General features: G+C 36.6%; 1 protein-coding gene across 4 annotated transcripts in view; it reads left to right on the top strand.

The window, feature by feature from the left end:
* WDR49 (WD repeat domain 49) overlaps nucleotides 1–13,727 on the top strand; it is a 179,240-nt gene that overhangs the window by 95,960 nt on the left and 69,553 nt on the right. For 3 of the 4 annotated variants that reach the window (NM_001348951.2, NM_001366158.1, NM_001348952.2), the window contains 2 exons: nucleotides 1,736–1,900; nucleotides 7,166–7,281. In NM_001348951.2, the coding sequence (NP_001335880.1) occupies nucleotides 1,736–1,900; nucleotides 7,166–7,281 (281 nt within the window). Of the gene's footprint in view, nucleotides 1–1,735; nucleotides 1,901–7,165; nucleotides 7,315–13,727 lie in introns of all 4 variants that reach the window. The other variant, NM_001366157.1, reaches the window with a different exon arrangement.

The following is a 13,727-nucleotide window of genomic DNA, read 5'->3' as shown; positions in this document are numbered from 1 at the left end:
AAACTTTGTATTGTTTCTCATTCTTGGAATATTCTCCAAGTACTTTTCTAAGTGAACTGTTAGTTGTCTGGAATGCTGTGCAGGAATAGAGGAAGACCTTATGATGTGGCTGTCTATGTCAAGGATTCAAACCTGTAAGTTTGGGGACATTATTAGCTGATTACAAACTCAATTTTGTCGTTGGTAAAATAATGTTGGTAACATTATTTCACAGAGTTTTCATAAAGATCAAATGAGATAACAAGTGAAAGGGCTTGGGGTACACCTCATAATAAATACATGTCTCCATCTTCAATTCCAGACCAGTTATCACCTCCTTTGTGAATCCTGACTTGCCCCTTGCTCCTCCACTCCCTAACCCAATCCCCCACTCCAGCAAGTGGATTTCAGGTTTTCCACTCTGTACTTCCACAGTACCCAAAGGTGATTCCTCTAAACTTGAAACATTTTTTAGCATTTATCTGTTTCTTGTCTGTTTCTTCATCTAGACCAGCAGGTCATAGGTCAGGCTGTAAATTTAAATCACCTGTGATGCTCTTTAAAGATCCATTTCCTTGGCCAATTGAATCAGAGTTTCTGATCTGGTATGCAGTGATGCTTTTTAAAGTTCCCCAGGTGGTTTTAATGTACAGGTGTAGACCATAGACAATAGACTCCTTGAGAGCAGGATTTTGCCAGTGAAGTTCCATTGCCGTTATGGAGCCTGGATGTTATGCAAGTGGCTGTAGAATGAATGAATGAATGTATGCATGATGGCCAGTATTGAATATACATTTGATAAACTTCAACCCATTTGATTATGAAAAGCAGCATTTAAATTTAACATATTGTTAATACATTTACATTTATACAATGGTAATCAATACCTAAACAGAAAAAGAAATGCTTTAAGCTTCCTTAAAATCTACATATTGCTTTAGAGAACTTCCTAGCTATGCATTTATGTAATTATTTTTCTTTCATTATTTTGGTTTCCAAAGTCATATTAGCTAGGTGGTTTTAACCTATGAATCTCTTAAATATCTTGAGCTGAAATTAGCAGTCCACTTGCCACTATAAAATTTCTCATTTTTGAACTGCTGTGTATAATCCTTTCCCTTCTAGCATTTGTCTTGTTGCCTTCCTTTCAAAGTGTGCATGTAGATTTATATTTAACCTGTGCTCTTTTTTTTTTTTTTTAGTAATCTATCAATAATTGTGTTTAGCTATAAAAATATACACAGTAGTTTGGGAAAAAAGAAAGCAAAGGACTAATGGCATTAAAAGCACAGCTCTAGTAATTTGTTGAAATTAACATTTTCCATAATGGCTGGTAGAGCTTCTTTTCTGAATGCTAAATGAAAGCTGCTATATTATAAAATGTTTCTTTTCATATAGTAAATAGTGTCAGAGCACCATGACTAGTAAAATCAGCTTTCTCATCTAAATGGGAAAGATTCGTAAGTTTATTTTCAGAATTTGATTTCGGAATGGCCTCTAGACACTAAAGCTGAATGGTGAGTAAGGAAAGCAGATTACTATCTTCTCTGATAAAGAGGATCACGACTTCATTACCTCAGGTCTAGTCAAAATTGAAATGTTATCAGCTTAATAGAAAGAAAGTCCATTACAAAAATGTCTCTGACTGTTGGGGGATCTTTGGACTAGAAATGCACAGGCTGGATATGTTTATTGAAATATAAATGGTTGATTCTGAGACTATATTTAATTTCTTTAAAATGTTATTTTCTCTTAGGTAATCAGCTCTGATACAGGGTCTACTGTTTCCTTCTGGATGATAGACACTGGGCAGAAAATCAAACAGTTTACTGGTTGCCACGGCAACGCAGAAATCAGCACTATGGCCCTTGATGCAAATGAGACTCGGCTTTTGACTGGCAGCACAGATGGGACTGTAAAGGTGCGAACACAATGATGCTTTTCTATCCAGATATGAGGAGACTAAAATACTATGCCAGAAGACATGGCTATAGATATTCTCATTTTTTGCCTTTTTGGTATTGCAAGAAGAGAAATGAGACATGGTAAGAGTGAAATAACTCCAACCATCTAATAAAGCTGCTAGGAAAATAAACCTCTGTGGAAAAATGAATAAATAATTTTTCTGAATAAATTATTTAGAATGAAAATATAACTTGGCTTACTCATTTCAGAAAGCCCCCTTTTCAGTGTAGTCAATAGGGACTACTTTGGGGAATACGATGCCTCGATAATTTCATGTGCTTTGGCTAATGTCTCTAGTTTTCTTTTTAAAAGTTGATTAAATGAGAAATCAGGAACACTTAACTAAACTTTAAAAAATGGCATAGATGCAAATTTTTCAAGAAATAAATATTTAAAAGTAAACCTATTTTGTAATCTTAATTTTTGTTATGTGAAATTCAGACAGTAGAAAGAATAATCATAATCTTATCCATTCTAAACTTACATGATTTTATATTTCTAAGTTTCTTATTCTATAATTATCATATATTTCTTCTGGGAGGAAGGTGCTAATTTCCTTTTCAAAATGGTCAACTTTTCATGAAAAACTAGATACTTGATATCTGAAGTCATGCCCACCAGTGAATCTTCTCTGCCCCCCTCAGCCCCAAGAGTAATGAGTCTTTGATTGGAAATGGCTTGTGCCATTTTGAGGCAATAGAAGGTAATTCCCTGAATAAACTTTGAATGTTTCTCAAACCTGCTATAACTGGGTATTAGACTACCTTCCATGGTGTAGTGTATGATACACTCAGTTAAGCTGTAGGGGAGAGTGATGGAAAGCTACCTGGATATGTAGGTAGAACATCCTAGAAGTTTAGGTATTCAGGGAGATTACAGGCTGGCAGTCATTAGTGTGAGGAAGGTGCTATTGTGGGTTGAAAAGGGAATCTCTGGAAATCAGTAGAAGTTGGCCTATGAGAAGGTTAATGGAATAAGGTATGGACTGGAGATTTGGGTTTAAGTAAAGTAATCTAGTTTACAGGAGAGCTGATAAGATGTGTGAAGGTACCAGGACAACCATAATCCCAATAATTGAGGTGAAATAAAAGGGAAATAACTGGACCTGGAGTATTAGACAGTGGTTCAGGCAAATAGTAAAAGCCAGTATCTCGCTTACCAGTCCTGGGGTGTGAGAATGCACTGAACATTGGAGTGAACGGATTAGGTTCTATTTACCTCTATCTTGGAAAGTAACTGGGTATAGAATCTAGGGTAAGGCTTACCTTGTAGATTCTGCTAAAATATTCCCAGCTAAGGGACTTAGTCGGACCTGGGGACATTCAGATCTTTGCAATACCTACTTGTGGAAATTATTTAAGGTGGACTTGGTAAGAGCCATGTTTAGAGGAAAACATAGCGACATGGATGAAGAGTATGTGTGCACCTCAAGTCTCAACTGAAGCGTTGACATCTTAGAAGTTAATGTGAATTTAGTAGTATAATAACTGCTTCTGAAGGTGCATTTATATTTATCACAAGAGCACAACAGAATTCTGAAGTCTGGCAACTTCTGTGTAGGATACATAAATCAGGGTTGAGTTTCTCTGACCATATTCTATGAAGAAACAAGAATGAATGACATTTTCCAATCTAATTTATAAATTTAGAATCCAAATTCAGTACCTACATAATCAAAGACTTAAAATTATTAACTCATTCATTATGGCTTTGAACGGTCTATTTTTAAATTAATTAATGTTTTGAATAATTAATGTGTGCATAAAATAAAATTTTTGAAATATAAAATGGATATATAGTGAAAATATATCATCCCTGTTTCCAGCTCCTTCTCTGAGGCTACCACTGTTACTGTTTTCTTGTGCACCTTTCTAGCCACAAACACCATTTGTTTGTTTATTTTCGTTCAATCATTCTTGTTTGTTTGTTTTTAGAGACAGGGTCTCACTGTGTTCCTGGGTTGGTTTCAAACTCCTAGGTTCAAATGATCCTACTGCCTCAGCCTCCTCCTGAGTAGCTGGGATTACAAACACGTGCCACTGTGCCTGGCCATTTGTTTCTTGATGGCAGCCTACTATACATGCTGTTCTGCATTTGCATTTTTCTGTCTTGGATATTGACTCATATAAATGGATACAATAATAATAATGTTAGCTAACATTTATTCCATGCTCACTATGAACCAGGCACTATTCTGAGCATTTCACACACACATATATGTATATCTATAAGGTTGGTACTCTTATCCTGATTTTTTTTTTTTTTTTGAGACGGAGTCTCGCTCTGTTGCCCAGGCTGCAGTGCAGTGGCACGATCTCAGCTCACTGCAAGCTCTGCCTCCCAGGTTCACACCATTCTCCTGCCTCAGCCTCCCGAGTAGCTGGGACTACAGGCGCCTGCCACCACGCCCGGCTAATTTTTTGTATTTTTAGTAGGGGAAACTGAAGCCCAAGGAGTTAAGGCAACTTGCTCAAGCTTCCATAGGCAGTTGAGTTTTGGCAGAGTCTAGGAAAATGGAGATGACTCATTCTTCTTTATGGCTACATTATATGCTACTGCATAGATAGTCCTTATTCTGATTGTTCAATTTCTTACTTACTAATGAGCAATTGCATTGATTCAAATCTTTTGCTTTTTAACAATGCTGCAAGAATATGCTTGAAAATATGTCATTTTACATATATGAATATATCTGTGGATGATTTTCTAGAAGCTGAATTTTTAAGCCAAATTTTAAGCCAATTTTTAATCATCTGTGAGATGACTTTCTAGAAGCTAAATTTTTAAAGGGTATATGCCTTTTAATAATAATAATTATTTTTTGAGACAGAGTCTTGCTCTGTTGCCCAGGCTGGAGTGCAGTGGGATGATCCTGTCTCACTGCAACCGCTGCCTCTCAGGTTCAAGTGATTCTCCGCTCTTAGCCTTCCGAGTAGCTGTGGTTACAGGTGTGCACCACCATGCTCGGCTAATTTTTTTGTTTGTTTGTTTGTTTGAGATGGAGTCTCACTCTGTCACTCAGGCTAGAGTGCAGTGGCATGATCTCAGCTCACTGCAACCTCCACCTTCTGGGTTCAAGCTATTCTCCTGCTTCAGCCTCCCGAGTAGCTGGGACTACAGGTGCATGCCACCATGCCTGGCTAATTTTTATATTTTTAGTAGAGATGGGGTTTCACCATATTGGCCAGGCTGGTCTCAAACTCCTGACCTTGTGATCCGCCCGCCTCAGCCTCCCAAAGTGTTGGGATTACAGCCATGAGCCACTGAATCCGGCCCTGCCTAATTTTTGTAATTTTAGTGGAGACAGGGTTTCACCATGTTGGCCAGGCTGGTCTCAAACTCCTGACCTCAAGTGATCTGCCTGCCTCAGCCTCCCAAAAAGCTGTAATTACAGGCATGAGCCACGGTGCCTGGCCTGCATTTTAATTTTGATAGCACCAATGTGACCTCTATGCATGATGTGCCAACAAGGTTTCATAGTAGGGCTTAGTTTTAACTGCTACTAATCTAATGATGCTCTCTCTTAAAGTATGCCTATTGGGCTTAAGTTTTCACTCCACTGTCTAAGTAGGTTAACCAGAACTGCTTGTGCCCTCTTGAGGACTGGGTCTGGCACCCACCATCAACAGGAGGTTTTATCGGTAGAGGATGAGAAATCTAGTAAATGATGACTGTTTCAGGTTCTGTATCAGCTGTTTAATCCTCCAAGCATCCCTGAGGAGTAAAGTTCCTGTATCACAGATAAGGAAGCAGAAATTTAGACATAGTGAAAACTTCAGGATGTCAACAGATTCCAAAATCGTTTTCTTCATGATTTTTTATTGTCTCTCCATTTAGTATACATATTAACTTACAGTATTTGAAGAACTATTATTAGAATAGATTGATAGAGTTACAAGTAGAGTCATAAACTGTCTAGCAACATTTCAGTTAACAACAGACTGCATATACGATGGTGGTCCCTTAAGATTATAATGCTATATTTCTACTGTACCTTTTCTATGTTTAGATACGCAAATACTTACCATTGTGTTACAGTTGTTGACAGTATTCAGTACAGTAACATGCTGTACAGTTTTGTAGCCTAGGAGCAATAGGCTATACCATATAGTCTAGGTGTGTAGTAGACTGTATCATTTAGGTTTGTATAAGTACACTGTATGATAGTGGCACAATGATAAAATCACCCAGTGATGCATTTCTCAGAATGTATCCTGTTATTAAGTGATGGGTGACTTTATATAGGAAAAAAATCAGTTTCTCCTACCATCACACTGAATGCAATACACACCTCTGGCCACCAAAATGTGTGTAGGGATTTTTCCCACACACCAATTCTGTGGTAGATTTTACAGAGGACACCAGTTGGGTGTCCTCCAATTCAATTCTATTCTGACACTGTCTACTTGGAGATAGAGTCAGATCCTCTAGGTTGAGGGCTCAGTCCCACAAGTCTGCTTCTTCCTTTAGATGCCAGTCACAAGCATATGTTGTAACTTGTGCTTCTGACTGACGGGCTGTAAATCAGCATTCTTGTGACCCTCTCCTTGGATCTGATTAATTTGCTAGAGTGGCTTACGGAACTCAGGGAAACACTTGACTTACATGTATTCATTAATTATAAATGATATTACAAAGGATACAGATGAACAGATGGAAGAGATGCATAATGCAAGGCATGTGGACTCAGCCCTTCCATTGTGGGCTTTTCACCCACCAGCAACCTCCACGTATGTTCAGCTGTCTAGAATCTCTTCAACTCCCATACTTTTGGGTTTTTATGGAGGCTCCATTACACAGGGTTGATTGACTCCATCACTGACCACTGGAGATGAACTCAACTTTAAACTTCTCTCTGCTCCCTAGGGGTTTCAGGGTGGGGCTGAAATTTCCACCTTCTAATTATGCCTTGGCGTTTCTTGAGAACAGCCTCCACCCTGAAGCTATTTAGGGCTCCCCAGCCTGGAGTCATGTCATTAGCATACTAAATACTATCTTATCATTAGAGAAAGAGTCTGAGGATTTTAAAAGTTATTGTGCCGAGAAATGGGGATGAAGACCAACTAGATATTTCACAATATTACAAGAGTAATATAGTGGCAAAATTCAATGATGAGTTGATTTTCTTTAATGATTACATATCCTAAATGAATTAATCCTGGTTCAGAATATAAAAAGTTTACCTTCCTGTCTCAAAGTGGTTTTAATTTTTCTCTTAAAGATATGGGACTTCAATGGATATTGTCACCATACACTAAATGTTGGGCAAGATGGAGCTGTGGATATTTCACAAATCCTCATTCTTAAGAAGAAAATACTGGTTACAGGCTGGGAGAGGTATGATTATGCCTCATGGAAAACTATAGGAAGGTAAAAAGGAGAATGTTTTTATTTTAATCAAAATCTAAAAGAAAAAAGAACATAAAAATCTTGGTTGACTCTGTGTCATTAAAACTTGCTGGTGACCTAGGTGAGTGATACCCTAGTTGGAATTGACTGAATGCTTAGTGAATAAAATATTAGAAGACCGCATAGCTTGAGTGGCTTTGAGAATTGTTAGGTTTTCTTCTGGCTTTGGAAATTTTTCTTTCTTTAACCATTTCAGATGGGGATGTATTACCACTTCCTAGGTTCCAAAAGTTTCCCAAATTTTATAGTCAATCAATTCTTAACTTGTAAATTACATTCCTTCAACTGTAAAGGAAACTCATTACTTCTTTTCTCATGACTTATTTTCAATTGCAACACAAGAGGGAAATAGCCAACTGAGTCCTGTGATAGCTCCTCCTTTCTATCAGTGCAGAAAATGTCTTTCGAAAGGCACTTACTCTTCTCGAGGAGCATTTCTTCCATTTCATTAGAAGGAAAATTACTTTTCCTTCCTTTTTTTTTCCTGACAGAACTAAGGATCATAAACAGTTCTGTGGCACTGTAGAAGCAGTAGGAAAATTAAAGTGTGATATGTTTTGAAAATATATTGTCCATTAATTCATCAGTTTACAAAATATTGCTCTAATAGGTAGTCGTCCAACGTTATTCACTATAGAATTATGACCTTAATGCTTTGAAGCTCGGATTAAATCAGATTTTATACCTAGAAAACCAGCAGTATATATTTGGGGATTTTTATCAATCACAGGGAAGAGTTTTTTCTAATGCAAATGTGCAAATGCAGACCAGCAAACAGTGCCACACACTGCCCTATTTTTAGGAGTAATTTGACAATAAGAAAGTAAGTATAGCCAGATTATTCTACTTGATATTAAGAACTAATTCAATCATCCTCATCTGTGAAGGACAAGACTTCACATCTCTGAAAGGATTCATGATCCATTATCAACCCACAACCACTCCACAGTCTATGATCTAATGATCGCTATACTTAGAAAATGGCAATGAATAAGTTTAGCTCTCTACCATGTGTGGTGTCCAGCTGATCCAATTTAAGTTTTAAACATAACAAAAAGGAATTTTTTAAAATAATCAATTCAAGTCAAAACTTGGCAATGCCATTTCCTTAATTTATTTTTAGATATCCATAGTTAGGAATTAACATCAACTGTAAGATTTTTTTGATTGCTTACAAGGGAAAATTAGAAAGATTAGATGTAGAGTCACCTAAAAGTGGTTTAAAGGAACATCTATTATTCTATCTATGTTGGTGGGTGGTACTTTCTATAATTTGGGGAAGAAGCTTTGGAAAAACTGGTATGAGAGTAGGAAAAATTATCACTTTTTCCATCTTCCTTCATGTTTTCCGTTATCCTCAAGGTTGTCAGGACTTGGATACCTTAGCTGAAATTGAAAATTGAATTAATACATTCTGTTATATTATTTCACTTTATATTGGTGGATTTAAAAATTATATATTCTAAATCAGAGGCTTTATGTTAAGATAGATTTTACAGGATCTAAGACAGGATTCTTTTTACCAGGAGGCATTTAACAAAAGAGGCAAGAGGGCAGGAAACTGTTCAGTTATAGTTACAGGAGGATGGACCGTTAAGCCAACTCCTTAATAGTTTAGTGATTAGAGAAGAAATAACTGGAAGATTGACAGTCGTCTTACTAAGCTTTCTTCAATACCTTGTTTTAGAGTCCATTAGGTTAAGTTGTAACTTTTACTTCAGATTTTATCCAAATACAGAGATTGGTTCGATAATTATGTGCAGGATGGGATGGTAATTACATTTTTGAGTAAAGTACTTAAATATGCCATCTGATTTATTTTATTTACAGTGCTGTGTAGCATTAGCCACTTTATACACGTTATCTAATTTAATCCTTAGCATCATCTCGGAAGGTAGGCAATATTTTATAGATAACTCAAATATCTGTCTTCAGGTCTTATCTCTCTAAGCTCAGTTATCCATTTGCTTGCTGTACGTGTCTGACTGCAATCTCAAATTCAACATGTTCTCAACTGAAATAATTATTTATCTCCTTTCCAAAACGTGCTTTTTCTCTTTTGTTTGGAACTTCAATTAATTGCCAGAGACCCAGTCATCCACTCTGGTTCTCCCTCTTCACACACAACAAGAAGTCACTAAGTCATATCTGTTTTATGCCCTAAACATTTCTTAAACCTGCTCCTATAAATTGTACAACAGTATTAGTATAATTCAGAGCATAATTTCCACTTGGATGAATGCCACAGCCTTCTAACTTGTGCTTTGTCCTCCTAATGCCCACCTCTCACTTCTTAAATAGATTCTGCTCACTTTAGCTACAGGGATTTCTTTCTCCAATGAATTCTATGTTATGTCCTTGCTTAAAACCTTTCAGAGTGTCTATGTTATGTGCTTGCTTAAAACCTTTCAGAGTGTCTAAGCTCCCTCTGACCTGGACATATTCTTTTATTTTCTAGTTTCATTTTCTCCCATTTTCTGTATATTCTAAACTCTATCAAATAGCAGCTTGCTTAGGGTGTTCACATACAAGCCGTACTGTTTCACACCCTTATGGCTTTATTCTCTCCTCTTATCTAGAAATCCCTCTCAAAATTTTTTCATTTGGCTAACATTTATTCCTATTTGAAGACTTGTTCAGATATCTTCTCTGCCAGGACATTTCTCTTAACTCTCAGTATAGAGACAAAATGTCCCCATTTTGTCTTTGTGCTCTCTAGTTTCTTACATTTTCTTTAATAGGGATATTTGTGTATGTGTGCATTCCTGGAGCTTACTAGATACTTGGTGATATTTGTTGAGTGACTTAATAAATGTTAGTTGAATAGACAGGGAAACTAAGGATTAGAGAGATTAATTACTCACAGTCACATTCTTAGTGAGAGGCAAGCAGCATAGATATGAAAATCTATTATATTCTCTCTTCACAATGAATCAGAAATCTAAGTATTAGCAACCTTATTTTACAAGGGAGGCTACCGAAGCTTGAAGAAGTTGGGTAGCTCAGCCAAGGTGACAAAGTTAGTAGGCCGCTGAGTTAGAATTCTGTGCCAAAGTCAATACTCTTTCTACCACTCCTGGGTAGGACTAATTGCAAATGGAGTCATCACACCATGAGACAGCAATTATATATTTTAAACTAAATGATTAATTGAATATTTTGTCATTTTAATTGAAGCTAATGAATCAGTACATATGAAGAAACACACAAAAAAACATGTGGTAGCAACTTAACAACAACTCAGATATATAGCTTACTCTCTTTTTTTCCCCTTTCCTTCCCATATATATTTTTTAATTGCACCTAGGTTGAAAGCCCTGAGTTAGAAACTACAGTATACTGAATGTAAAGAATCATGATTCCTGTTTCAAGGGCATCCACTTGTTTATGGATGGCAGGCAGGTCAATACATAAAAGGCAGAATATGGTAAATATGAATGTTTGGGTCTAAGCAAAATGAACTAGAGAGCACATGTTAGCTATTTGGGAATACAGTCATTCATATCTAGAGAATTTTTCTGTCAGTAAAAAGAAGTCCCAAATTTAGAAGTATAGAAATGTGTTTCTCATTATTTTAAGCAAAATATACTTAGAAACTAAGTTGTGAATTGGCATAGAGTCAATTCACAAATACCTGGTTGAATCTGTGGCCATATTTATGTTGCTAAAATTAAATGACTAGATAATCAGTTAACTTTGCATTTGTTCAAAGTAGGCATATAATATGTATAGTTCTAGTAAAATTAAATAAATTAAGAATTTAAGATTTTATCCTGCCTCCAAAATCTATGATTTTATAATATATTTAAAGCTCTCTCTCTCTCTCTCTCTCAAAAAAAAAAAAAAACCTCCTAGTTCCCCTGATTTTAATTTTCTCTTTTCTATAAAGGAGAAATCTCTGTGTTTTTCCCTCTAGCTTTATCCAGGAATAACTGACAAATAAAAATTGTATATATTTACAGTATACAAGGTGATGTCTTGATATTTGTATACATCTTGAAATGATTAAATCAAACTAATTAACATATCCATCACCGTATATATTTATTGCTTTCTTTTGTGAGAAATTTGTTTATGAAGGTTTTATCTCCTTAAAAGTCTAGACATGCACACATAAGAAAAAGAGAATCTTTTGAGTGAACTCCCATTCACCATTGCTTCAAAGAGAATAAAATACCTAGGAATCCAACTTACAAGGGATGTGAAGGACCTCTTCAAGGAGAACTACAAACCACTGCTCAACAAAATAAAAGAGGACACAAACAAATGGAAGAACATTCCATGCTCATGGATAGGAAGAATCAATATTGTGAAAATGGCCATACTGCCCAAGGTAATTTACAGATTCAATGCCCTCCCCAGCAAGCTACCAATGACTTTCTTCACAGAATTGGAAAAAACTACTTTAAAGTTCATATGGAACCAAAAAAGAGCCTGCATTGCCAAGACAATCCTAAGCCAAAAGAACAAAGCTGGAGGCATCACACTACCTGACTTCAAACTATACTACAAGGCTACAGTAACCAAAGCAGCATGGTACTGGTACCAAAACAGAGATATAGACCAATGGGACAGAATAGAGCCCTCAGAAATAATACCACACATCTACAACCATCTGATCTTTGTCAAACCTGACAAAAACATGAAATGGGGAAAGGATTTCCTATTTAATAAATGGTGCTGGGAAAACTGGCTAGCCATATGTAGAAAGCTGAAACTGGATCCCTTCCTTACACCTTATACAAAAATTAATTCAAGATGGATTAAAGACTTAAATGTTAGACCTAAAACCGTAAACATCCTGGAAGAAAACCTGGGCAATACCATTCAGGACATAGGCATGAGCAAGGACTTCATGACTAAAACACCAAAAGCAATGGCAACAAAAGCCAAAATTGACAAATGGGATCTAATTAAACTAAAGAGCTTCTGCATAGCAAAAGAAACTACCATCAGAGTGAACAGGCAACCTACAGAATGGGAGAAAATTTTTACAATCTACCCATCTGACAAAGGGCTAATATCCAGAATCTACGAAGAACTTAAACAAATTTACAAGAAAAAATCAAATAACCCCAGGAAAAAGCGGGTGAAGGATATGAATAGACACTTCTCAAAAGAAGACATTTATGCAGCCAACAGACACATGAAAAAATGCTCATCATTGCTGTCCATCGGATAAATGCAAATCAAAACCACAATGAGATACCATCTCACACCAGTTAGAATGGCTATCGTTAAAAAGTCAGGAAACAACAGGTGCTGGAGAGGATGTGGAGAAATAGGAACACTTTTACACTGTTGGTGGGACTGTAAACTAGTTCAACCATTGTGGAAGAGAGTGTGGCGATTCCTCAAGGATCTAGAACTAGAAATACCATTTGACCCAGCCATCCCATTACTGGGCATATACCCAGTGGATTATAAATCATGCTGCTATAAAGACACATGCGCACGTATGTTTATTGTGGCACTATTCACAATAGCAAAGACTTGGAACCAACCCAAATGTCCATCAATGATAGACTGGATTAAGAAAATGTGGCACATATACACCATGCAATATTATGCAGCCATAAAAAAGGATGAGTTCATGTCCTTTGTAGGTACATGGATGAAGCTGGAAACCATCATTCTGAGCAAACTATTGCAAGGACGGAAAACCAAACACTGCATGTTCTCACTCATAGGTGGGAATTGAACAATGAGAACACTTGGACACAGGGTGGGGAACATCACACACTGGGGCCTGTTGTGGGGTGGAGGGAGAGGGGAGGGATAGCATTAGGAGATATACCTAATGTAAATGATGAGTTAATGGGTGCAGCACACCAACATGGCACATGTATACATATGTAACAAACCTGCACGTTGTGCACATGTACCATGGAACTTAAAGTATAATAATAATTAAAATAAAATAAAATAAATATCATTGCAACTTGAGTTACATCTTTTCCCTGTGAGCCTGTAAAGATAAGATGCTGGTATCATACCTGAGCTCAATTAACATTTTTATAGTGTGTAGATATGATTGATATTAATACATTATAATAAAATAGACTACTTAAGAGTTAGCGACAAACTGTTGAGATGGTGGTATTGATGAAATATCTCTGCCCATTGCAGGAGAGTTGCAGCAATCCACTCATATAGTGATTACCCCTTGTGACAAAAGAAAATATCTTCATATTTCTTCATTTTAAGTCAAACCATAAATGTAGGCAGAGATGTTTTTAACTAACATGACTATGATAATCTATGTGCCATTATCTAATTGCTCACAGAAATCAAACTGTACAAGTGCCGAGGAATCTGAATCCAGTCTTGAGCTGTCAGTGGAGAATGTCAGTTATTTCAGTAAATTGCCCCCT

The sequence above is a fragment of the Homo sapiens genome, chromosome 3 (genome assembly GCF_000001405.40).
Source record: "Homo sapiens chromosome 3, GRCh38.p14 Primary Assembly".
NCBI classification, from domain to species: Eukaryota; Metazoa; Chordata; class Mammalia; order Primates; family Hominidae; genus Homo; species Homo sapiens.
Note: the sequence above shows the minus strand (reverse complement) of the source record. Positions and strands in the feature narration are given on the sequence as shown.